We start from the raw sequence: 26613 nt of genomic DNA, 5'->3' as shown, positions 1-26613 counted from the left end.
CGTTTCTCGCTCTTCTCCTATGTCTCCTCTGCCTGATAATACTTGGGTTTAAAGTAAAATTTATTATCTGCCTACTAGCTTTGAAAGCTGCCCGTTGTCTGGCATGTGACTTAAGGACTTTCATATGGGAGCTGTAAAATTACATGTGGATGCTCATGGAAATATATCCCATGTGCATTTTCTAAGTTCATGGCTTCAAATCACCGGGCTTTGGAGTCAGGTCCCTGAGTTTGAATCTTGGCTGCGTAAGGCCTCAGGAACCCCATGACCATGGCAAATTACATTACATTCATTTCAAAGTGAGGATAAAAATAAACAGAGAGGGGGCTGGGTGTGGTGGCTCGTGCCTGTAATCCCAACACTTTGGGAGGCTGAAGTGGGTGGATCACAAGGTCAGGAGTTCGAGACCAGCCTGGCCAATGTGGTGAAACCCCCATCTCTACTAAAAATACAAAAATTAGCCGGGCATGGTGGCAGGTGCCTGTAATCCCAGGTACTCGGGAGGCTGAGGCAGGAGAATCGCTTGAACCTGGGAGGTGGAGGTTGCAGTGAGCAGAGACTGCAGTGAGTGGAGATCGTGCCATTGCATTCCAGCCTGGGCGACAGAGCGAGAGTCCATCTCAAAAATAAATAAAAATAAAAAAATAAACAGGGGACAGGGTTTGGTAATGAAGAGTCTGGGGTCCTGAGACAGACTGCTTGGGTTCATATCCTGGCTGTACCACTTGCTGACCATGTGACCTTGGGCAGGTTACTTACACTGTGTTTCCATTTCCACAATAGTAAAATGAAAGTGATGATAGAACTCATCTCTGATGGTTCCAGCCAGGCTTCAGTGGGCTCCTACATGGAAGCCATTTCGAGCTGTCACTGTTAGCTCTCATTACATAATCAGGGGGCTGTGAAAGTAAACAAAACAGCCCATGGATTGTTAGCACAGAGCTCATAGCAAGCCCTCAGTCAATATTCATTGAATTGATCACTTGACCAAGATTGATTTTTTTTTTTTTTTTTTTTTTGCCATTTCTGGTTAATTCCTACTCTTTAAGTCCCAGGTTAAAAGTCACCTCCACCTAGAAGCCAGCTCTGATTTCCCCTTCTCCCTACTCCCACAATTAGGTTTCTGTTTTCTCCGCTAGCATGTATCACAATTGTAACTAATTAGTCTTTAATTAGAGAAGTGAATTCCAATGCAATTCCAAGGGCAGTGAACTAGAGAAGTGAATTAAATTAAGAAGTCAATTAGAGAAGTGAATTCCAATGCGATTCCAAGGGTGGCGTTTGCAGCAGCACATATTACGATAGAGAGGGAGAGGGCCTGTGGCCAACTAGCAGAGAAAGAGGAAAGCAGCCCCTGACAGCCAGCAGCCATGATTAGCTGGGTCTTGGTGTTGCTAGGAACTGGGCTGGCCCACAGGTAGGCCATGCTGTTCTACTGTTGAACATACACAGTTGTTCACAGTTTCATAAAACACCAACATCAGACAAGGCCACTCTGACCGTGGTGGGCAAGACAAAAACAATACCACATCTGTCATCATGTGTGAGCCCAGACAAAATGGGAACACTGTCCAAGCCACAAAATACCAGACATCCTCCTCCCCTCTGTTAATCTGAGTGACATTACTTCTTTGCCTATTAAAGTTTGAGTCTTGCTCTGTCTAGCCTTCTTTCCCTCTTGATAATATTTTTTAAAATAACAAATCATAGAATTAGCCCCACTTGCTGGTGCCTCTGATGGAGGTTTTCTTGAACTCCTCCAAAAGCATCTAACATGAGCCCAAACCTAAAATAAAATAAGTTATTTCTGGCACCCTCTGAGGTTTTCCTTATTGCAATGAGTAATAAACTTATTCAGTGACAGGGGTGTCCCTATTGGTCTTTGGCCAGAGGACAATGACATGGGGAAGGCCCTGCCCGCCTGATTGATTTTGAAAGCCTTAAAAAAGAATCTGAAGTTTCAGTTTGGCCTGTGAGCTCCAAATTAGTTGCTCAATTTCTAGTTTACTAGACTGTAAATCTCCCTGCATGCAGAGACCTAATCAGTCTTATTTTCCCACCACCCAACACACCAGGTCTGGCACATCATAGGCACTCAATAAAACAGCTATTGAACGAGGGCAGGAAAGGGTGGCTGTGAGGATTAAATGTGTTTATATGCCTGAAGCACATGGTGTGTATGGCATGTGCCCCATCATGAGGGCTTAGTGATGGTGGCTGTGTTAGTCCGTTTTCATGCTCCTGATGAAGACATACCAGAGACTGAACAGTTTACAAAAGAAAGAGGTTTATTGGACTCACAGTTCCACATGGCTGGGGAGGTCTCACAGTCATGGCAGAAGGTGAAAGGCACATCTTGAATAGCAGCAGACAAGAGATAAGAGCTTGTGCAGGGACACCCCCCTTTTTAAAACCATCAGCTCTCATAAGACTCATTCTCTATCACAAGGAACAGTGCAGGAAAGACCCACCCCCATAATTCAGTCACCTCCCACCAGGTTCCTCCCATGATACATGGGAATTGTGGGAGTTACAATTCAAGATGAGATTTGGGTGGGGACACAGCCAAACCATATCAGTCACTTTAGGGTTGTTGTGTGGCAAATGATGGAACTCAGATAATGGAGATGCTTGCCCTTGGAGAATTCCAAGCCCCTCGGGGAGGGGAGGAGGATTTAGTTGTAAGACATTCAAGCCCAGCTGTTTGTGACAAGTGTAGTCTTAAAGGTGTGAAGAATTCACAGAGACTGTTGGTTCCAACTGGGAAAGTCAGGGGGGAGAACTGTGAATGAAAGCAAATGTATAACCGGCTTTGAAAGACCCATTGGCTTTTGGGAGAAAGACGGTGGGAAAGGGGGCATTTCCTAATGGTGGTTTGGAGGGGGTGGGGGAAGCTCAGGGCAAGATTTGAAAACAGTGGCTAGAGATGGCACAGGGGAACGTGGTGGGAGTCATGCTTCAGCTCTGTCCTTTATTCTGAAGGAGCTGGGGATCCATTGAAAGTTCTTGAACACATGAGTGATTTAGTAAGACAAACTATGTGGTGATTGCCAGAAGGATCTGGAAACAATAATAGCAAATTCTTACACAGTGCTCATTCTATGCCATGCACTTTTCTAAGTACTCTATATAAAGTAGTTTTTTGTAACCAAAAGTTAGGTAATAATAATTATTATCCCCATTTGACCAGTAATGAAACTGAGGCACAGAGGGGTTAAATAACTTGTCCAGATGACAGAAAGTGGCAGAACCGGGTCTCAAACCCAGGCTGTCTGGTTGCAAAACCTGTGCTCTTAATCAGTACTGCCACTTAGTAAATTCCTCATTGCGATGTTTCTCAAACTTGCTTGTGCATAAGAACCATCTGAAGCTTCCGTGAAAAATGCAGATATCCAGACCCTTCCTGGGGATAATATATTAGGGGGTCTGAGCAAGGTCCGGGGAATCTGAACCAGCCAGGGAGTGGTTGGGTCAGGTCAGATGCTTTCGGTTGCTCTTTTTTTTCTTTTTTCTTTCTTTCTTTTTTTTTTTTTTTGAGACAGAGGCTTGCTCTGGCGCCCAGGCTGGAGTGCAGTGGTGCAATCTCGGCTCACTGCAACCTCTGCCTCCTAGGTTCAAGTGATTCTCCTGCCTCAGCCTCCTCAGTAGCTGGGATTACAGGCACCCACTGCCACACCCAGCTAATTTTTGTATTTTTTAGTAGTGACGGGGTTTCACCATGTTGGTCAGGCTGGTCTCCAACTCCTGACCTCGTGATCTGCCCGCCTCAGCCTCCCAAAGTGTTGGGATTACAGGCGTCAGCAACCACGCCCGGCCTCTGTTGCTCTTAACAACAGCAAACTAAAAGTGTGCACAACAGTTAAAGACACATATTATCTCTCATAGCCAGAACAGGCAAGGTCAGTTCGGCAGCTCAAAGGTGCGGAGTTCTTTCCGTCTTCCTCCTGTTCTCGGTGGTGGGCTTTTATCCTTTGCCCTCGCGTCCTCCGCATGGCCGCATGGTGGCGGCTAATGCCTTGGGCATCAGATCTCTCAGGCACACCCACAAGCAGGGAAAGGAGCAAATTAAATGTATCAGGGAGGAAATGCTCCCTGATGAACTCCCAAAACTCCAGATCCTGCTGGCCAAAACTGGGACACATGGCTTTGCCCAGTTGCACTGTAGTGGAGGCAGTTAGGCTGCCAAGGGACAAGGAGAAGGGGCCTACCAGTGGAACCCAATCCCAAGTCCCCTCCGCAGGGCCACGTTCCTACCACTGCCTCGTTAAAGGGACTAGAGTGGCAGTTCTCAAATGCTGCTGTGCAAAAAATTACCTGGAAAATGTGTTTAAAATACAGCTATAAAGATATCTAAACTTTACCCCAAATCTCTGCATCAGAATCTGTGATGCATGATCAAATTTGAGAACCATTCAACCAGAAGGGGTTGAAGGGATGGAAACCCACTGGCACTAGAGTCTAGTTCACAATAGGTGCTCAACAGATCTGAGGAATGAATGAACGGCCCACTGAGGGAGGGAGGGTAGGGTGGGATGTGGGAGGAAGCTCTGTTCCATCCATGGTTTATTTTTCCTGTTTGGTGAAGTCCCAGTATAGGGCAAGTTAATTTTCCGTTATATAGGACTGTTCGTTTGCTTAGAACAGACCCCCTACTTTGGCTATAATTCAAGCCAGAGGGGAGACTTTGTTTAGAAGGATATAGGCATAAGGGAGAATTATAGGCAGGCACGCAGCTGGATCTCAAAAAGAGATTGAACCGGCCGGGCGCGGTGGCTCACGCCTGTAATCCCAGCACTTTGGGAGGCCGAGGCGGGTGGATCATGAGGTCAGGAGATAGAGACCATCCTGGCTAACAAGGTGAAACCCCGTCTCTACTAAAAATACAAAAAATTAGCCGGGCGCGGTGGCGGGCGCCTGTAGTCCCAGCTACTCGGGAGGCTGAGGCAGGAGAATGGCGTGAACCCGGGAAGCGGAGCTTGCAGTGAGCCGAGATTGCGCCACTGCAGTCCGCAGTCCGGCCTGGGCGACAGAGCGAGACTCCGTCTCAAAAAAAAAAAAAAAGAGAGATTGAACCAGAAGCTAGAAATATTTTAGGGTTTTCCAGACTGTACAGCTCAAAGGGCTTGTTGGAAATGCTGGGAAGGCAGAGTCTCGGCCCCACCCAGAACTGCTGATCAGAATCCACATTTTAGAGAGATTGTGGTTGGATAAGCACTGCTGCCCTGTGACCATTCCCAAAGTTTATGTCTTCTTTGTTCAGAAGGAAAGTCCACACCAAACCTGAGCGTCTTAGTCTCAGTTTGGGTTTTTTTAAGAGATTGGGCGGGTGGGGGGAAGGTCTCACTACGTCGCCCAGGTTGGACTCGGACTCTTGGGCTCCAGAGATGCTCCCACCTCAGTCTGGGTCATAGTTGGGACTTTAACGGCAGCCGCCAATACGCCTGGCTGCAGGATTCAATTTCAGAGCAAGAGACTCGATTGGCCCAGTTGCTGTCAGGTGTCTTCCACTGCACCAATCAGCAAAGGCAGAGCTGGGGCGTGGTCAGGGCTTCCAACAGGGCAGCGCCACTCACCCCTGGGGAGGGACATTTGGGCCGGTCTAACGCCCACTGTGGACGGTAAAGGCCGTTTGGGAACAGCGTAAGTGAAAGGGGTGGATTTTCTCTTTTCTCTCAGAAAATGAATTATTTTGGGGGCGGGGGCGGCAGCGGGGGTGCGGGGGGAAGGGAACGGAGTCTCACTCTGCCACCCAGGCTGGAGTGTAGTGCGATCTCGGCTCACTGCAACCTCTGCCTCCTGGGTTCAAGCGATTCTCCTGCCTCAGCCTCCCACGTGCCTGGGATTCCAGGCGCCCACCACCACGTCCGGCTAATTTTTGTATTGTAGCAGAGACAGGGTTTCACCATGTTGGCCAGGCTGGTCTCAAACTCCTGGCCTCAAGGGATCCGACCGCCTCGGGCTCCCACAGTGCTGGGATTACAGGCGTGAGCCGCCATGCCCGGCCTCAGACAGTGAATTCTGAGTTTACAGTTGGGATACTTGCCTGGAGATCAAGAACCCTAAATGAGAATCCTAAGCATGAACGACACTGCAAAAAACAACATACACAAAAAAATCAAGAGACCTGAATATATGATAATATCCTGCTGGGCGCGGTGGCGCTTGCCTGGACTCCCAGCACTTTGGGAGGCCAAGGAGGGAGGATCGCTTGAGTCTGGGAGTTCAAGACCAGGCTGGCCAACATGGCGAAACCCCGTCTCTACAAAAAATACAAAAATTAGCTGGGCGTGGTGGCGCATACCTGTTATCCCAGCTACTCAGGAAGCTTAGGCAGGAGAATCACTTGAACCTGGGAGGCAGATATTGCAGTGAGCCGAGATGGTGCCACTGCCCTCCAGCCTGGGAGATAGAGCCAGACCCTGTCTCAAAAACAAAACAAAACAAAACAAAAGATAGTATCCTTAATCTGCAAAAAGCATTTACAAATCAAGAAAAAAATTAAAATTCCAATAGAAAAAATGAGCTAATAGAATAAACAGGAAGTTCACCAAATAAGGCATGTCATTGGAAAAATAAATGTTGAAAGGGAGTTTAATCTCACTAATTACATGTAAAGGAAATGCAAGTTAAACTCAAGTGATCTCATTTTGTCCTCTCAAGTCGTCTCTGTGACAGCCAAGGTTAAGGGGAAAATGCAAATAATTTCAGTTTTCTGAAAGGATGTTATAATTATATAATCACCAAGTAATAAAACATCTGTACCATTTTAACCCAAGTCTTCAATTTCAAGGAATGTACCCAAAGAAATGAGGGATAAATTTAAACTTCTGGACAGGTTTTACTCATAAAAGTCAATTCCTAGATGTCTCCTCCATGTCCAAGAAAGGGAAATGGTTAAACTATTCAGCAACCAAAATGATGAAATATTATGTGGCCATTAGAGGTTGTGTTTTCGATGAATGACAACATGATAAGATGTTTTAACATGGCAAAAGTGTTTCATTAAAAATATATATTAAATGATTTAAGCCATGATCCTAGTTTTATACTTTTAAAATATACTTTTTTTTTTTTTTTTTTTTTTGAGATGGAGCCTCACTCTGTTGCCCAGGCTGGAGCGCAATGACGCGATCTTGGCCCACTGCAACCTCCGCCTCCCGGGTTCAAGCAATTCTGCCTCAGCCTCCCGAGTAGCTGGGATTACAGGTACCCACCACCACACCCAGCTAATTTTTGTATTTTTAGTAGAGACAAAGTTTTGCCATGTTGGCCAGGCTGGTCTCGAACTCCCGACCTCAGGTGATCCGCCTGCCTCAGCCACCAAAAGTGTTGGGATTACAGGCGTGAGCCACCGCTCCCGGCCCTAAAATATATTTTCTATATATAAAAGAGGTTAGCCCTTTAGCTGATCATTAATTAAACAAATGTTCTTTGAGCTCCTCCCCTTCACCTGGTTCTGTGGTGGGTGCAGGGGGAACAGTAATGGAAAGAAACAAGGGTCTGTCCTCACTTAACTCCTCCAACCAAATAGAAGAGAGAATAGTCATTTAATAATTTCTCAAATAAGTATTTAATCACAGTAGCGATAGGAGCTTTGTATAAAAAGTAAGGATGTAGGCTGGGCACCGGTGGCTCACATCTGTAATCCCAGCACTTTTGGAGATCAAGGCAGGGAGATTACTTGAGGTCGGGAGTTCAAGATGAGCCTGACCAACATGGTGAAACCCCCATCTCTGCTAAAAATACAAAAATTAGCCAGGCATGGTGGCGCACACCTTTAGTCCCAGCCACTCAGGAGGCTGAGGCAGGAGAATCACTTGAACCTGGGTAGCGGAGGTTGCTGTGAGCCAAGACTGCACCACTGCACTTCAGCCTGGCAACAGAGCCAGACTCCGTCTCAAAAAAAAAGAAAAAAAAAAAAGCAAGGATGTATATTGCCATGTTTTGACAGCATTGGGAAGTTTTTTGTTTTGTTTTTCTAGAGACGGTCTTGCTCTGTCACCCAGGCTGAAGTGCAGTGGTGCAATCATAGCTCACTGCAGCCTGGAACTCCTGAGCTTAAGCCATCCTTCCACCTCAGCCCCACAATTAGCTGAAACTACAGGCACACAGCATCACACCCAGCTATTTTTTGTATGGTTTTGTGGAGACGGCGTCTCCCTGTGTTGCTCAGGCTGGTCTCAAACTCCTGGTCTCAAGTGATCATCCTGCCTCAGCCTCCCAAATTGCTGGGATTACAGGCATGAGCCACTACACTTAGCCTAGTTTTTTCTTCTCTCAACTTTTCTGTGTAGAGAAGAAAATCCTAAAATTCATGTTAACTTTTATTTTGCAAAAATAAACATTGTCATTTAAAAAGAGAAAAGGATTTGTTAAATGGAATTTTTAAGTTGAAGAAGGGAAGGGGGAAGCAAATTAGATAGGGAGATATCAAAGCTGTCTTGAGATGTCTGAAAGGCAATTTGGTAGAAAAGGAGCTATGGTTGGTTCATGTGAGCCCTAAGACTCCACAGAGACAAACTTCAGAGAAATAGATGTGGATTATCTATTTCATGAAATTCATATAACAGTCATACATTTTAAACAACATCATGATCAAATAACTGAATATGCCCCTGCTACAAACCAGAACTAAATACAATAAGCAATTCTCAGATGCACACCTGAACATGCAGGAAAGAAGGGAAATCCCCTGGAGCCAGAAAACAAACCTGAAAGCTGCAGCAGGTGTGTGAGGCTGTGAGCTTCTTGGGGTATCGGGGACAGGGTCTGATCTCACTAAACAGGAGGCTTGATTTTAATGGCCACACCAGGGTAGAGGCTGAAGCCCTGAGCTCTTGCAAAAAGTTAGACATAAGACCCCCACATAAAGAGGTGGCCCGTGCTGCATTCTCGGTGAAAAGAGGGACTAGAGAATATTCTTGGGGCGTGGGCAAGTCACGCCTCTACTGGAAGCACTTCCCCCCAAGGTTATGAGTCATCCCGCCTCAGCAGATGTGGGGCGTTTCACCTTCTTCTAGGGTGCTCTGAGATTCCCCAAGGCCCATGCCACTCATTATGCCAAACCTGAATACAGATAAATAATAACCTATTATGCATAGTTACCGTAATGTCCACTGAGAATTCTCAAGAACTTGCAGTGTGCCCGACTTGCAGTATGCCTTATCCTTCCCTTGAATCTTTACTAGAACAACAAGATCTAAGCTCTGAGATCACTGCAATATCCCCATTTTACCGACAAAAGAACTGAAGAGCAGAGAAGTGACTTGGTCAAGGCCCTATAGCTAGTGAGAGGAGACAGAGGTTGGCCCAGGGTCAATCTGACTGTACACACACACACACACAAACACACACACACACACCAACACACACACACACACCCCTGGCAATGAGTGGTGACTGCAGCATCAAATCACATGCACACACCCAGGTTGGTCCAAGGTCCACTACACACACACACATACACTCACCTGGGGATGAGTGGCTACTCTGGCATCAAATTGCATACAAACACCCAGTTGGTCGGGCGCGGTGGCTCACGCCTGTAATCCCAACACTTTGGGAGGCCGAGGCGGGCACATCACCTGAGGCAGGAGTGTGAGACCAGCCTGGCCAACATGGTGCAATTCTATCTCTACTAAAAATACAAAAACTAGCTGGGCACTGTGGCAGGCACCTGTAGTCCCAGCTACTCAGGAGGTTGAGGCGGGAGAATCGCTTGAACCCAGGAGGCAGAGATTGCAATGAGCCGAGATCACGCCATTGCACTCCAGCCTGGGTGACAGAGCGAGACTGCATCTCAAAAAAAAAAAAATTGGGGAGGCCGAGGCAGGCAGATCACCTTAGGTCAGAAGTTTGAGAACAGCCTGGCCAACATGGTGAAACTCTGTCTCTACTAAAAATACAAAAATTAGCCAGGTGTGGTGGTGTGTGCCTGTAATCCCAGCCACTAGGGAGGCTGAAGCAGGAGAATCACTTGAACCCGGGAGGCGGAGGTTGCAGTGAGCCAAGATGGCGCCGTTGCACTCCAGCCTGGGCAACAGAGCGAGACTCCATCTAAAAAAAAAATGAAATAAAACACCCAAATTGGTCCAAGGTCAGTCTGACCATGCATGCTCACACATACGCACACACAGACACATACACATACACATACGCATACACATACGCATACGCATACACAGACACATACACATACACATACACATATGCACACACACCCCCTGGGGATGAGTGGCGACTCCGGCATCAAATCACATGCAAACAACCAAAGGGGATGAGGAGGCCTCTGGTTGCCAGCAGTCCCTCAGTGATTACCATAAGCCTTTCCCTGGGGTGTCTCTGCAGGTCCTGCTGTTCACAGCAGATTCTAGAAAGGCCACGTGTGTGGGAAGGGATACCCTTGATAAATCCAGCTAGGAGGCGCCAGCAAGCCGACCATCTGGATGAGAGTCTTCAGCACCCAATGCCCCTTTGTTGCTATTGAATTCTGGACACCTGCAACAGAATACTATTAATATAATAATTATATGCTTCCATGTTTTATATTCAAATGTTACCTTCTCACTGAGGCCTTCCTGGACCTACTTAAAATTGCATGCCCACCAGCATTTCCTGGTTCCCTTCCCTGCTTTATTTTTCTCTGTAATATTTACACCACTTGATTTGCACACTATATATTTAAATACTTATTGCATGCACCACTCCTAACTAGAGTGTCAGCTCCATGAGGGCAGGGATTTTTGTCTCTGAGTCACTGCTCTGTTTCTAGTGCTTAGAACAGTTCCTGGCACACAGTCAGTACAGTACCTAATAAATATTTGCTGAATAAATTAGTGAATAAAGTCAACAGCAACAGCAGCTTTACATGCCTGGTTTCTGATCCTCACAGCAGCCCTAGGAGATAGGAATGGAAATTGTCCACATTCTCCAGGTAAAGAAACTGAGGACCAAGGAGGTAAGACACAGCCTAAGCTCTGGAGCAAACCCTTTCTGGTCTATAGCCATCTACTTTGGGATGACTCGCAGGTTACATGGGATTAGCCCTGCCCCAAAATGATCCCTGCACCTGGGTGCCTGAATCCCTTTGCTGTTGGGTTTTGTTTTTTTTTCCTTGAGATGGAGTCTCCCTCTGTCACCCAGACTGGAGTGTAGTGGCATGATCTCAGCTCACTGCAACCTCTGTCTCCTGGGTCCAAGCGATTCTCCTGCCTCAGCCTCCTGAGTAGCTGGGACTACAGGTGCGCACCACCACGCCTGGCTAATTTTTGTGTTTTTAGTAGAGACAGGGTCTCACCATGTTGGCCAGGCTGGTCTCAAACTCCTGACCTCAAATGATCCGCCCACCTCAGGCTCCCAAAGTGCTGGGATTACAGGCATGAGCCACCACGCCCGGCCCTTTGCTGTGTTTAACCTGCCCACTCATGATGCTTCCTGCTGCCTCTCCAAGACACCAAAGCACAGGCAACAAAAGTGAAAACAGACAAATGGGACTATATTAATTTTTTTTTTTTGAGACGGAATTTTGCTCTTGTTGCCCAGGCTGGAGTGCAATGGCATGATCTGGACTCACCGTAACCTCTGCCTCCCAGGTTCAAGCGATTCTCCTGCCTCAGCCTCCCAAGTAGCTGGGATTACAGGCATATGCCACCATGCCCAGCTAATTTTGTATTTTTAGTCGATATGGGGTTTCTTCATGTTAGTCAGGCTGGTCTCAAACTCCCGACCTCGGGTGATCCGCCTGCCTCGGGCTCCCAAAGTGCTGGTGTTACAGGTGTGAGCCACTGCACCCAGCTGGGACTACGTTAAATTTTAAAACTTGTGTGCATCAAAGGAAACAGCAGAAATGAAAATACAGCCTATGGAATGAGAAAATATTTGCAAATTATACATCTGAGAAGGGGTTGATATCCAAAATACTCCTGTGTTTCCCTCTGCTGTGACTTGCCCAGGCTTATGGTAGAGGACAGTTAAGAGATGGAGCCCAGCCAATCTCTGGAGAGAGCAGAAAGTGGCAGGAGGGTGAAGGGCCTACCACCTACCTTTCAAGAGAGTGCTGAGGAGCCCGCGAGCTGACTTGTAGGGAGGACCTGGCCACCCATACTCACCCCACTGTGAACACCTTCCAGCACAGGGGGTCACTTGTGCAGGAAGTTGTAGAGCAGAAGGTTGGGAGGCCATGGAGTATGACCATAGCCCAGCACCCTGGTTTTAGCACCAAAATTCTTGAGAAACTCCACTACAAGGCAAACAGGGATGGTTGATCATCCTAGCTCATGAGCATTTCAGTTGAGAGTTTGATGCACAAGTGCCAGAGTCTGGTTCTATTGAACTGTAATATATCCCTGTTGACATTTATTGAGATTCAACCATGGCCACATCCTGTGCTACTGAATTCTCTTGTTAAACTTTGCAACACCCTTATGAAGTGGGCATGGTGATTGTCCCCATTTATAGTGAGAAAACAAGTTCAATGAAGTTACATAACTGGCCTGAGGTCACATCCATAGTGAATGATCAAACCTGAACTTATATCAGTCTGAAGACACATTTTAACATATCTGAAACAACGATGCATTTTAGAATTAGTGAGATTTCTGTCAACCAGCAGGCAGTCCAAAAACATTACCTTGCTGTGCATGTGAACAAACTTGATTTCAGTGGGTCACATTTTTCTTACCTCAGCTGCATTGTGTGCAATTTTGGAACTGTATGTATTGAGTTTAATTGCTGTTTAAAATGTCTTCCAAGATATTGCATGATGAAGCAAGTTGAAGATGAAAAGTAATTGCTTACCCAGAAATGCCTGAAAACCGTAACGGGGTAAATCTGATATTAATGAAGCAAATCTTCAGTGTTGGAGGAGTGACTGCAGTTGCACGTTCTTGCAAAGCAACAACCGAGAGAGGTGGAATTCCTCATATAGACAGAGCTGGGTTAAGTTCTACTGCCAAGATAGGTGGAAAAGGATGGTCTCTGCTAATGGTTCTTAAACTTGAGCATGTATCAGGATCACCTGGAGGGCTTGTTAGAGCACAGATTGTTGGGTGCACCCCCAGAGTGTCTGATTCAGTAGGTCTGAGATGGGGCCCAAAAAATTTGCTTTGGTAACAAGTTCCCAGGCAGCTCCAATGCTGCTGTCTGGGGACCATGCTTTGAGAACCAAGCAGAGCGAGAGAAACCAGGAGAAATAGCCAGATCCCACAGAGCAAATGAAAACATTTCAACAAGAGACAGGTGCAGCTGATTCATGCATCAGAGATACTTGGCATGATAACAGGAAACATCAGTTTGTCTGAATCTTTCAGCTGACTTTAAACCAAAGCCCTTGACTTCCCTACACATATTTCCATTGAGAAAAATGGAAACTGTGGCTTTACTCAAATACCAAATGCTGACAGCACCAAGGTATCATTTGAGGTGTATCAGAGTGATATGATCACTACTGAAGGTGCCAAAGAGATGGAGATCAGGAACTTGGGTTTCCTGCCAAATGTCCAAAGAAGTCAGGAAAAGCCCATTCGATAAATATAAAATAAAATACCTAAAAAAAGAAAGAGTTGTCATAATGTGTTTAATTGGCAGCATTTTAATCATATATGAAATTATGACACATTTTACAATCTAAAACATCTTAGATTCAAAGAAATATAGTGTTTAAGAGAAAACAAACTAGCACCTGGAGCCTGTGGCATGGATATTAGTGCTTTGGACAAAGCTAAAATAAACAGTGATGTTAGGCCTGTGTTGACTTAAATAATCTGTAAATAAAATGTCAAAAATGTCAAAGGTGGTGTCTGAGTGACTGAAGTTTGGGAAACAGAATATTACAGCGGCTCTCAAAATCATCATTAGGGCCTCTTAGCCTGACAGGTTCATCCAATGAACAAGCCTCCATTGGTCATATTTACTTCTTATTTGAAACCCAATCTTCATATGACAAAGTACATTCTAAGAAAGAACCAGAAAAAGAAAGAGGAGGAGAGGAAGGAAAGAAGGGAGGGAGGGAAGGGGAAGAGGAGAAGGAGGGAGGGGAAGGGAAGAGGGAGGGAGGGAGGAAGGGAGGGAGAGAAGAAGGGAGGGAGGAAGGGAGGGAGGAAACATGCCTAAGTCCCAGACTATAAATGTAGTTAACAAAGTAGTCACTTAATTTTTTACAACAAAAAAATTTGAGACTGCCTATCTTATCTTTTACAATTTTATTTATTATTTACTTATTTTTATTTATTTTTTATTTTTTTTGAGACAGAGTTTTGCTCTTGTCGCCCAGGCTGGAGTGTAACAGCACGATCTTGGCTCACTGCAACCCCCGCCTCCCAGGTTCAAGCAATTCTCTTGCCTCAGCCTCCAGAGTAGCTGAGATTTCAGGTGCCCGCCACCATGCCCAGCTAATTTTTGTATTTTTAGTAGAGATGGGGTTTCACCATGTTGACCAGGCTAGTCTCGAACTCCTGACCGCAGGTGATCCACCTGCCTCAGCCTCCCAAACTGCTAGGATTACAGCTGTGAGCCACAGCGCCCAGCCTACAATTATATTTTATATTTAGTCTGTGTTTTGCTATTTTTTTTTTCTTTTTGCTTCAGAACCTCAGTAAGAGTACAAGGAATTTTTTGAGGGGGGGAAATACTTATGCTGAGAAGAATGTTAATTAGACTAATTTTGCCCCAAATCCCTTCTATCGTTCCTTTTTGGTGTTTCATTAGGATTTTGTCATATAGCTTATGAAAGCACTTAATGCATTTGGCTGCAGTTAACAGAAATCTTACCTGGCATAAATTATAGGGACATAAATTATAGGGACATTTCTTGTTTATTTAAGAAGTCTAGGGCAGGCATGGTAGTTAACAATGTGGGAGGCAGAGACAGGTAGATCACTTGAGCTCAGGAGTTTGAGACCAGCCCGCGCAGCATGGCGAGACCCCAGTCTTTACAAAAAATACAAAAATTAGCCGGGCATGGTGGTGCATGCCTATAGTCCCAGCTGCTTGTGAGGCTAAGGTGGGAGGATTGCTCCAGCCTGGAAGGTCAAGGCTGCAGTGAGCTGTGATCATGCCACTGCACTCCAGCCTGGGTGACAAAATGAAACCCTATCTCAGAAAAAAAAAAAAGAAAAAAGTATAGATTTGGGTGGCTTCAGAGCTCTGACTCAGCATCTGATTTCCATGTTTACCCTTATGGTTACAGAATGGCTGCCACAGATCCAGGCATCACATCATCACTCCAGCATATACAAAGACAGGAAGTAGGGCAGCCAGGGCAGCAAGATGAGCTTTTCTCAACTGCTTCTTTTACCATCTGCCCTGCCCACCCTGCCCCCCCATGCTATTTTAAATCAGGGAGGAAAGTCTTTTGCAGAAGTCTCCCAGCGGATGCTCTCTAGTGTCTCATTAGCTAGAACTGGGTCACATGATCACTGTGAAGCCGCAAGGGAGGCTGGGAAAGCAAACTAGTACATGCATTCTCTCTACAAAGGAAAGTAGGCAGACACCATAGCTAGCGGGCATTTATATTAAGAAAATTAATAATCACCATATCTTTTAGTTTCAGCTCCAGAATTTGTTTTTGAACATGGCTATCAAACTTACCTGCCCACGGAAAGTAATGAAAACCAGACAGCCACTGTCATCTCTCTCCCTGCCAAGTCACGCACCAAAAAGCCCACAACACCACCTGCTCAGAAAAGGCTTAACTGTTGCTATCCAGGTAAAGGCAGCATTATGTCCTACTTGTGTAGAGGGTGTGATATTTAACCAGGCTCCAGGGCTCCTCCTCATGAGTTCCTGACAACTGCTCATGGATGTGTTCCAAACTACCTGGCATAAAAATCAGAGCCCCCTGGCATTTACATCAGCACATACAACCTATCTCCCACTGTCTGTGGTCATTCTGCCTCTGGGTTCTAAGACTTTTCTAGCCATAGGCCTTTGAAGTGGAACTCGTGAAAATTTCAGGTTGCTATAAATTTTTTTCCTATGCTATAGCTTAGGAAGATATCCAGTAAGAATTTTCTTTCCTTACTTTGGTTTTAATTTATTCAGAAATAATTTCAGATGTACAGAAAAGTTGCAAAAATTGTACCAAAAAAATCCCTGTATGCCCTTCATCTAGATTCCCCAAATGTTACCATTTTATTATATTTGCTTTGTCATTCTTTGTATATATACAAATATATATACAAGTATAGTTTTCCCCAAACCATTTGAAAGTTGCTGACAATGTGATGCCCCTTTATTCCTAAATACTTCAGTGTGTATTTCCTAAAAACCAGAATATTCTTTTAAATAACCACAGGACAATCATCAAGATCAGAAAATTAACATTTATAGGAACTATTATCTAACCTACTGACCTTAGTCAGATTTCGTCATCAAGTGTCCCACCGATGTCCTTTCTACCAATATCAAAAGAATGACATTTTTCCCCTCTGATCCAGGCTCCAACCAGTGATCACTAATTGCATTTAGATTTTATGTCTTTCATTTCCTCTAATCAAGAACAGTTAAGCATTTATCTTTCATAAGCTTGACATTTTTGAAAAGTATAGGCCAGTGATTTTTGTCAAAAGGGCCTCAGTTTGGGTTTATTTGATGTTTCCTTATGATCAGATTCAGGTTATGCAGTTTTGGCAGGAACCACAAAATGACGGTGTGTTTTTCCCGGTCATCACATATGAAGGCACATGAGATCTCTTTTTCCCATTACCGTGGTGTTAACTCTTGTCACTTGGTTAAGGATGTTTCTACCAGTTTTCTCCATGCTAAAAGTTACTAAGTTTTCCTTTGTAATTAATCTTTCCTTTTTTTTTTTAGGTTGCCAATTCAAGACTGCTTATGGCATGAAGGACATGGAGCGGCATTTAAAAATTCACACGGGTAAGTAGCATTTCTTTAGCGCATATGCCCTCAACACCTGCTCTGTGCTAGGAGATGGGGATCCACATAGGTCAGACGAATGATACCACTCCAAACGTCACTGGCTGTTATGGGAATACAAGTCCAGATTTTAAAAAATAAGGTGCCATTTGTACACATGACTTTGGCAGAAAAATCTTTAACATAATAAAATCCAGCTCTGGAGAGGATGTGAGCAAACTTAGCTAAGTGGGAATGTGAACTGTTACAGCCATTTTGAAAATGATTCTGCCAAAATTAATTAAAATTTGAACGCACATATTCTCATTTTGAGGAGATGACCCTACGAGTTCATATGTGTGTGTGTAATGATTAGTAAAGAGAGGAATAAGGGGAGAGAAAAGAAACTGTCTCTTTTTTTGTCTTTTTCTTTTATATTTTGAGACAGGGTCTCACTCTGTCGCCCAGGCTGGAGTGCGGTGGCACTCGACCCGCCCACCTCAGCCTCCAGAATACCTGGGACTACAGGCAGACGCCACCACACCTGGCTAATGTTGTGTATTTTTTGTAGAGAGTGGGGTCTCACCATGTTGCCCAGGCTGGTCTCGAATGCCTGGACTCAAGCGATCCACCCACCTTGCCTTCCCAAAGTGCTAGGTTTACAGGTGTGAGCCACTGCACCTGGCCAAAACTTTCATTTTATGTATCTTTATGTTATATCACTGAATACAGTGAGTGTGTGTTATTTTTGTAATTTAGAAAGGAGAATTTAATAAATACTTGTTTTAAAAGAAGAGAGAAAGATCAATGCATGGGAAAAGAAAAAAGTGATGATTTCTGGTGATTTTATTTTTCTTTAATATATTATTTTTATGTTTCCCAGATTTTCTGCATGGAAAAGGAATTGCCTTCAGACTTTTTTTTAACAAGTGTTATATGCTTGTATTCAAATAGTACAGATTTAAATTTTAAAAGTATAAATGTGTATAAGATGCAGGGAGTTTTGGCTTTGGCTTCGCTAATTGCCCAAAGCCTGCTATTTAGCCTCAGCCTTTGGAAGATGAGTAACCAACAGTTATTTCTTACATTCCTTGGCCATAACCAATAAGTGCCTTATTGCACTGGGGTCACCATCATATCTAATCAGCCTCACAGTGTCATGCTATCTGGATTTGTTCTAATTATCCAAATATTAAGTTTCAAGTATTGATTGGTAAGCGTTCTAGTGTAATAAGCAATTAAACTCTCCATGTGGGTTTCATATATTGAAGTTTCATCCATCAAGCCATAGCATATTTATTATTGAAAGAATAAAGTACTATAATTTTTGTTTTGTTTTGGTTTTTGTTTTTTTGAGACGGAGTTTCGCTCTTGTTGCCCAGGCTGGAGTGCAATGGTTCAATCTTGGCTCACCGCAACTTCTGCCTCCCAGGTTCAAGCGATTCTCCTGCCTCAGCCTCCTGAGTAGCTGGGATTACAGGCATGCACCAACACACCCGGCTAATTTTTGTATTTTTAGTAGAGACGAGGTTTCTCCATGTTGGTCAGGCTAGTCTCGAACTCCCGACGTTGGGTGATCCACCCACCTTGGCCTCCCAAAGTGCTGGGATTACAAGCGTGGGCTACCGCATCTGGCTGAGTACTATAATTATTAATGATGATAGAGAAAGCGTTGTAAAAGTACAAGTGAGGGCCACAGCTTTGTCTATTTCTGCAAATCCGCAGAAAATATCTTCTACAGTTAGCCTACCTTGTGTTTGGAGGATAGTTTCTGCGGTCTCTGTCTACATTTTCAAGTTTAAATGTATCCTCACCTTAGTTACCTTCAGAGAGTGGGGGTATGCTTAATTACCCCTGGAGTTGGGGTTTGGGGGAACCACAGCAACAGGGCTCTTTACCAGCAGAGCTGGCCAAAAACCACTGAGCTCTGCCAACATCCAGCATTTGCCCAGTGTTGCAAATACACAGTGTAGTGACCGCAGGAACTACTGAGCCACTGACAATGCTGGTAAATTATTGTTCCTGGATTTTTAAATTTGATGACTAAAATTTTTGTTTGTTTGTGTTTTTGTTTTTGTTTTGTTTTTTTGAGACAGAGTCTCGCTCTGTCACCCAGGCTGGAGTGCAGTGGCGCGATCTTGGTTCACTGCAAGCTCTGCCTCCCGGGTTCATATCATTCTCCTGCCTCATTCTCCCGAGTAGCTGGGACTACAGGCGCCTGCCACCACGCCCGGCTAGTTTTTCTGTATTTTTGGTAGAGACAGGATTTCACTGTGTTAGCCACGATGGTCTTGATCTCCTGACCTCATGATCCGCCCGCCTCGGCCTCCCAAAGTGCTGGGATTACAGATGTGAGCTACCGCGCCCAGCCTACTAAAATGTTTAATAATAAAAATGCTAATTTTTTTTTTTCCTTTTGAGATGGAGTCTCACTCTGTCACCCAGGCTGTAGCGCAGTGGCACAATCTCAGCACACTGCAACCTCCGCCTTCCGAGTTCAAGTGATTCTCCTGCCTCAGCCTCCCGAGTAGCAGGGATTACAGGTGCCCACCACGATGCCCAGCTAATTTTTGTATTTTTAGTTCAGACAGGGTTTCACCATGTTGGCCAGGCTGGTCTCGAACTCCTGACCTCAAGTGATCTGCCTGCCTCGGCCTCCCAAAGTGCTGGAATTACAGGTGACAGCCACTGTGCCCAGCCAAAATGCTGATCTTTAATAAACTTTTAGATGTATTCTTAAATCCCAAATATTTATTTATGACGACAGTGATCAGCTTTGGCTATTTTAGCACTTGGCTAGTTACGATTTGGTGAAAATACATATTTGATATATAAAGTAAAAAAAAGAAAATCCTGATTCACAGCCACCTCCTTCCATGACCAAAAGTCAGCTCTCCTAATAGACCTCTATGTCTCATTCTGAAATATTTGCATGCCTAGACCAGGTCTAAAAACACACACATTTAATTTTTCCATGTCTTACTAAGTTAATATGATACACGCTATCAGTGCAACTTGCTTCTTTTCATTTACTATTGCACATCATTTCACATCAGTATGTCATATCGACTTACTCTTTTTCATGGCCAAGTAAGGAATGGGTTCAGTAATTTATGCACATCCATACAGTGAAATATTTCAGCCTTAACAACCGCGTTGTGGGTATGTAATGATATGAAACAGGTGATCGAAATTACCGTACATGCAAGAAAGTAGTCAATAGGGAGGCAGTGCAGTATTTGGCAAAAAAAAAAAAAAAAAAAAAGAAAGCAATCACAAGACGGTCCTGGGTTCTAATTCCAGCTGTTGCAAGGATTAACTAAAGTAATTCAAAGGCACAGTGCCATTCAAAAAGGAAGTATTTAAATTGATGTTAGCCAGGAATTTTTATGTACCAAAAACATACACACACAGAGATTGGAAAAATATACATCAAAAAGTTAGCAGTAGTTCACAGATGTCAAGTTGACATAGCATTAGTGAGGTTCAGATTAAGCTGCTGTAAGAATGAAACTGAAACACCAGCTCAAACAAGATAGGGATTTGTATCTGTCCCGTGTAACTGTCCGGAGGTGAGCAGGCAGGCTAGGACAGGTGGGCAGCTCTGTCCTAGGGACCAGCCAGGCACTTAAGTTCCTCCCACCTCATTCTATTACATGACTCCACCATCTGCAGGTATGCCACCCTCAGCTGCTCACTCACCTGCCCTCACCTGCTCACTCACCTGCGCTCACCGACTCACTCACCTGCCCTCACCTGCTGCCTTATCCCCATGCCTTGGCTAGAAGCAGGAAAAGAGAAAATGTAAAAGGCAAGCCGTTTCCTCTTGTGAAAGAGACACACTTTACTTTCTCTGCCATCGCTTTGATAGGAACTTAGTCACAGATCACAGCTAGCTGCAGGCGAGGCTGAGAAGTGTAATCTTTCCCTGGTGAGCCATGAACTCTGCTGAAACTTAGGTATTCTAAATTTTACGGTGCATCTCTGTTGTGAAAAGGAAAAAGGAGAGAGTGAATACAAGGGAAAATTAACAAAACTGTTACTATTTTACGTACCTATACTTTAAAATTTTAATTGCCTTCTATTTTTAATTTATAAAAAATTTATAAGAAATTCATATTCATCATTTTAAAAATTCAAGTAATACCAATAAGGAACATGGAAGAAACTTCCCCTCTCCCAAGATGTTAGCTCTTTGCCAATCATCCACCCAGTGTTTTAGGGTTTTTGGAATATTCTTCGGTGGTTGTATATGACTTTTTTCGTAAGGCAGTGGGAAATAAGCCTTTTCCTTTTTTAATCTTGTTTCCTGCTGCCATCTGTGTGTGTATGTGTTTGAAGGAGACAAACCCCATAAGTGTGAAGTCTGTGGCAAGTGCTTTAGCCGGAAAGACAAGCTGAAAACTCACATGCGGTGCCACACGGGCGTGAAGCCCTACAAGTGTAAGACGTGTGACTACGCCGCTGCCGACAGCAGCAGCCTCAACAAGCACCTGAGGATCCACTCGGACGAGCGGCCCTTCAAATGCCAGATCTGCCCCTACGCCAGCCGCAACTCCAGCCAGCTCACTGTCCACCTGCGATCCCACACGGGTGAGTCCTGCCTGTTATTTGCTCTCTACGCTCCTCACTTTCTATGGCATAAATCATAAGCACCTTAAAGCATTCAGCCACAATGTAAGAAATCGAGTTGGAACCTTTGCTCATCCCGTTGTTTGCAGTTTTGTTTTTTTTTGTTGTTGTTGTTTTGTCTCGCTCTGTTGCCCTGGCTGGAGTGCAGTGGCGCTATCTCAGCTCACTGCAACCTCCACCTCCCAGGCTCAAGCAATTCTTGTGCCTCAGCCTCCCAAGAAGCATGTTGCACCACGTCCAGCTAATTTTTTGTATTTTTAGTAGAGATGGGGTTTTGCCATATTGGTCAGGCTGGTCTTGAACTATTGACCTCAAGTGGTCTGTCCACCTCAGCCTCCCAAAGTGCTGGGATTACAGGTATGTTGTACCACACCCAGCTAACTTTTTCTAATTTTAGTAGAGGTGGGGTTTTGCCATATTGGTCAGGCTGGTCTTGAACTCCTGACCTCAAGTGGTCTGCCCACCTCAGCCTCCCAAAGTGCTGGGATTACAGGCGTGAGCCACCGTGCCTGGCCCATTTGCAGTTTTGCTTTTCAGCTGCCTTGAAGAGCCTTTCTCAGTAAAATAGGGGAAAATCATGAAGTTTATAACTTTATACATATGTATATCTCTTTCTATAACTTTGTAACTTATTCAGTTGTAAAGTGTGTAATTGAGGAGATGCATGAAATGAAATACACGTATAAGCCATGTATCTTTGATAAATTCTGCATTATGGTTAGGCATTCCAATCATTTTTGAAGCATACTCTAGTTCAGCATGGAACAGCTTGACCAAAAAACATACAGCAAAATTAGCAGAGTAGGTAACTCAATAAATTACATACTTTTTTCTTTCGGTGTATCAGTTAGATAATGATTCAGTCATGCTGCAGTAACAACCATGAAATCTCAGTGTTGTATAATAAACATTTGTTGCTAACATACTTTAGGTCAGCAGGAAGTTGACTGGACAACTCTGTTGATCTTGGCTTGGCTTAACCACATGTGTGGGGAAGGCTGGGTGCCTTTCAGATTTCCCTGGGGATCTGCTGGCCATGGGCTGGCTGGCTGTCCACTGGCCTTGGCTGAGGCAATCTGGTTCTGTTCTGTGCATCTCTCATCTTCCTCCTGGGACCATGGACTAACCCAGGCTTGTCCTTCTCATGAGGATGGCAGAGGTGCAAGCAAGCAAGCCCCAGTGTAAGCCCATTTCAACTCTTTGCTTCTATAAGTTGTCAAGCATCACATTGGCTAAAGCAAGTCACATGTTTCATCCTGGTGTCAAGGGCGGGACTGAGCTCACTGACAGTGAGAGGTCATCACAGTGTTACATGGCAAAGGTCGGGGATGCAGGGAAGGTGAAGAATTGGGACTTTTTCTTTCTTTCTTTCTTTTTTGAGATGGAGTCTCACTCTGTTGCCCAGGCTGGAGTGCAGTGGCGTGATCTCAGCTCACTGCAACCTCTGCCTCCTGGGTTCAAGTGATTCTCCTGCCTCAGCCTCCTGAGTAGCTGGGATTACAGGCTCACACTGCCATGCCTGGCTAATTTTTTGTATTTTAGTAGAGATGGGATTTCACCATGTTGCCCAGCCTGGTCTCGAACTCCTGAGCTCAGGCAATCCACCCGCCTCAACCTCCCAAAGTGCTAGGATTACAGGTGTTAGCCACCGCGCTGGGCTGAATTGGGACCATTTTTGCAAACAACCACAGTCCGCCTTTATCCCCACCGTCATTCACATCTCTCTGACAGGCAAAATGCATTAACAAGTCTCATCCAATCATAGGATCAGCCTTAAAGACCACAATTGCGTGATCTCCCTTGGGTCTGGATATGGTTTCTCTTCATCTAGAGACGGTTGAAATAAAAGACAAGTTGTCTGTCATGATACACCCAATATACAGTGTAAAACAAAAAGCCAAAATAATTACCATAATTCTACCATTTGAAAGTAGTGTAAGACACATGCACACATATGTTTATTGCAGCAGTATTCACAATAGCAAAGACTTGGAACCAACCCAAATGCCCATCAATGATAGACTGGATAAAGAAAATGTGGCACATATACACTGTGGAATACTGTGCAGCCATAAAAAAGGTTGAGTTCATGTCCTTTGCAGGGACATGGATGAAGCTGGAAACCATCATTCTTAGCAAACTAACACAGGAACAGAAAACCAAACACTACATGTTCTCACTCATAAGTGGGAGTTGAACAATGAGAACATGTGGACACAGGGAGGGGAACATCACACACTGGGGCCTGTCAAGGGGTGGGAGGCTAGGGGAGGGATAGCATTAGGAGAAATACCTAATGTAGATGACGGGTTGATGGGTCAGCAAACCACCATGGCACGTGTGTACCTGTGTAACAAACCTGCACGTTCTGCACATGTATCCCAGAACTTAAAGTATAATTTTAAAAAAGAAAGAAAGTAGTATAGAAGAACGGGAGGCATTTGTCAGTCCCTGGTCCATAGCATTTCTGAAATTCTTCTGGGCACAGGTTCCCCCTACTCAGGGGTTAGGGAATGTTTCTTGGTTAGGCCTTGGCTCAGCTCTTTGGTTCTTAACCCTGCCCATTGGAACATCCTTTCCATCACTTTCCTAAGCTACTTCTGAAAAAGATTGCAAAATGTACCTTTGAGAAACTTTCTCAGCTTGCTTCCTGTCTACCAAAAGCTGGAGGTCTTTTACCTTTTGTTTTAGTAAGGCTGGTGACAGTTTTGCTGGTAGAGCTGTCTTTAAAAACTGTGTGAGTTTCCTATGTATCCATATGCCAAAAGCCATACCCACAGTTCTTTTGGAATCTTGCCTCTTTTTCTAAACTCAATTATAGGCACTTTTGGCATTTAACCTTCTGTGGGTTTTAGGAGTCCTTTGTCCAGCTGAGAGAACATACTTGGCACCAACTTAATTCTCACCATTCTTAATTCTCTTTTGGAGATTTTAATAAAGAGTCTTACATTCAGACCCCTTATTTCACATTTGGTCTTCACTCTGAGACTAGTTTCTTAGATATGGTCTTTGTCCCAGGCTTTTGTCTTACTTGGGAAAGCTGGCTGGAGAAGCTGGCTGGAGATGAGAAACTATATCCAGTAATCTTTGACTTTCTATATTCCCTCTAAATTCTGCTTACAAAATGTCCAGTTCTTTTTTTGAGTTTGTCTCTTTCTTGTAGTCTTTTATCATATGCAGCTTATAAAACACTTTCACTGTTCTGCCTAGAATTTATCTCTTTATTCAAGTCCAAAACTCATGATGTACATTTTCTGTCTTCTAAGCTACCACGAGTGACAGTCTTACCAAATGTTTGCCATTAAGTAGTGTGCATTGCCATTTTTCCAGCCTCCACATGCAACCGAATCTCAAAACCAATACTCTGTATTATGGTTTTCTGTTACAGCGTCACCCTTTTTCTAGATACCAATATCTGTATCCATTGTCTGTTGTCACAGTGATGCAGCGTAATAGCCCACAAAACCTCAATAGATGCAATATGCTTTTTCTGGTTCCCATGCGGGGATCAGCTGGGCAAACCAGCTGACCTTGGCTGGGCTCTCTTATTAGTCTGAGGATCTGCTGGTTATGGGCTGGCTGTCCACTGGCCTTGGCTGAGGAAATCAGCTCTGCTCCACATGTCTCTTGGCCTTCTGAGACCAGCAGGTTAGGCCAGGATTGACCGCATGGTCATGACCGAGGTGTAAGCAAGCAAGCAAGCCCCAGTGCACAAGCCCATTTCAAGCCATTCCTTGTTTCAAGTTACTAAACATACCATTGGCCAAACCCAACGACATGGTTGAGGCTTTTGTCATGGATCACGGGAGAACATGCCTAACTACATACATGGCAGAGGCCGTGCTAAAGGAGGGGTGGGAGGTGGGAAGATTTGGGAACATTTTTATAATCTACAGCAAGTTCAGACATTGGCATAATCGACGCCCAACTGATTTGCTTCAGAAATTTCCCCCAGCCTAAGTTAGAGAAGCTGAAAAATTCATTTATGAAAATGGTTCATTTTGATTGATAAGGATGAAGTTACTATTTATAGCAGCATCTTTAAAATTGGTCTAGAAAAGGTGTGTTTTTCAAAAATTTCAGTGTGTGCCATTTATGCATGGTCTTCGTGGAATGTTCATTTTCCCTTTTATAAATCTGTGGCACTGGTAAAACTGTAAATTAATAGGATTTTGTTTTTACCCTTTCGGCAATTGGATAGACTACATCAACACTTGTTTTAGTAGCAACCCAAACTCAAGGAGGACCTGTCAGCTTAAATATATGTCGCTCATTCATCCAACATTCTTTAAACCTCGCTATGTGCCAGACACAGTGGGAATCAGGTAGTAGGCAAGAATGAACATAGTCATTAGCTTTGAAGACCTTAGTGTCCAGTGGGACTATTTGACCAGGATACTTCATTAAAGAAATGTTTATGGTTAAATTAAAAAAAAAAAGACAAAGGAATTTAAAACCTTTGCTTTCATGCCAAAAAACGTTGTTAAGCTCTGCAACTTAGCTGCGAGATTTGGTTTTCTGGATTTTCTGGGTCTCACCTCTGCAGATTGCTTAAAAAAAGTGAAAAAAGACTGTCACTATAATTTTGACAGGGATATAACTGGAAAACCTAGTAAAACATTCTGGAGCAAGGATTCTGACTTTGAGTCTACAGACGTCTGCCCCTGAGAAATCCATGAGTAGATTTGGGAAGGAGGTCCTTGAATGGGGGTGGGGAAAACAAAGACGTCTTCATTTTCACTAGCCTGTATTAAAATTTGACACGTCCTTCAATTATGAAAACAGGCAACCAATCTGATAACAGTGCATGTAAAGTTGTCGCCAGCGGAAATCAAAAATCTCTTCATAATGATTGCTGCAGATGGAGCAAATATCTTTTACACTCTTCTTTATTTAGAAATGACTGTAGTTACTAGAGCTGCCGCTAGGTCTGATTCTTGAATTCATTAATGAAACACACACATTGGCATATCACAATTTTTTCTCTGTAATAACTATTTTAATATAATTAGTTTCTTTTATATTCCTATTGGTTTTTATTTTAGTTTATTTGGTACATTTAAAACATTATCTAAGAAGGGTTCCATGGACTTCACTAAACTGCCAAAAAGGGGTAATGGCATAAAAAAG

At 44.1% G+C, this 26613-nt stretch overlaps 1 protein-coding gene across 11 annotated transcripts in view, besides 2 other annotated features; it reads left to right on the top strand.

The window, feature by feature from the left end:
- ZFP64 (ZFP64 zinc finger protein) overlaps positions 1-26613 on the top strand; it is a 107769-nt gene that overhangs the window by 10213 nt on the left and 70943 nt on the right. For 4 of the 11 annotated variants that reach the window (XM_017027945.3, NM_199427.3, NM_199426.2 and 1 more), the window contains exons 3-5: positions 15542-15703; positions 16810-16872; positions 21193-21444. In XM_017027945.3, coding sequence (XP_016883434.1) covers positions 15542-15703; positions 16810-16872; positions 21193-21444 — 477 coding nt within the window. Of the gene's footprint in view, positions 1-5585; positions 5641-7087; positions 7207-15541; positions 15704-16809; positions 16873-21192; positions 21445-26613 lie in introns of those variants that run through there. The other 7 variants (XM_047440285.1, XM_017027947.3, XM_017027946.3 and 4 more) reach the window with 4 other exon arrangements.
- Positions 1623-1802: an enhancer, noted in NCBI's record as "active region_18117". NCBI's record gives its function as "activates an Ori minimal core promoter by ATAC-STARR-seq in GM12878 lymphoblastoid cells {active_cell/tissue: GM12878}" and the evidence as "EXISTENCE:reporter gene assay evidence [ECO:0000049][PMID:35858748]".
- Positions 2423-2472: a silencer, noted in NCBI's record as "silent region_13043". NCBI's record gives its function as "represses an Ori minimal core promoter by ATAC-STARR-seq in GM12878 lymphoblastoid cells {active_cell/tissue: GM12878}" and the evidence as "EXISTENCE:reporter gene assay evidence [ECO:0000049][PMID:35858748]".

The sequence above is a fragment of the Homo sapiens genome, chromosome 20 (genome assembly GCF_000001405.40).
Source record: "Homo sapiens chromosome 20, GRCh38.p14 Primary Assembly".
In the NCBI taxonomy this organism is placed as follows: domain Eukaryota; kingdom Metazoa; phylum Chordata; class Mammalia; order Primates; family Hominidae; genus Homo; species Homo sapiens.
Note: the sequence above shows the minus strand (reverse complement) of the source record. Positions and strands in the feature narration are given on the sequence as shown.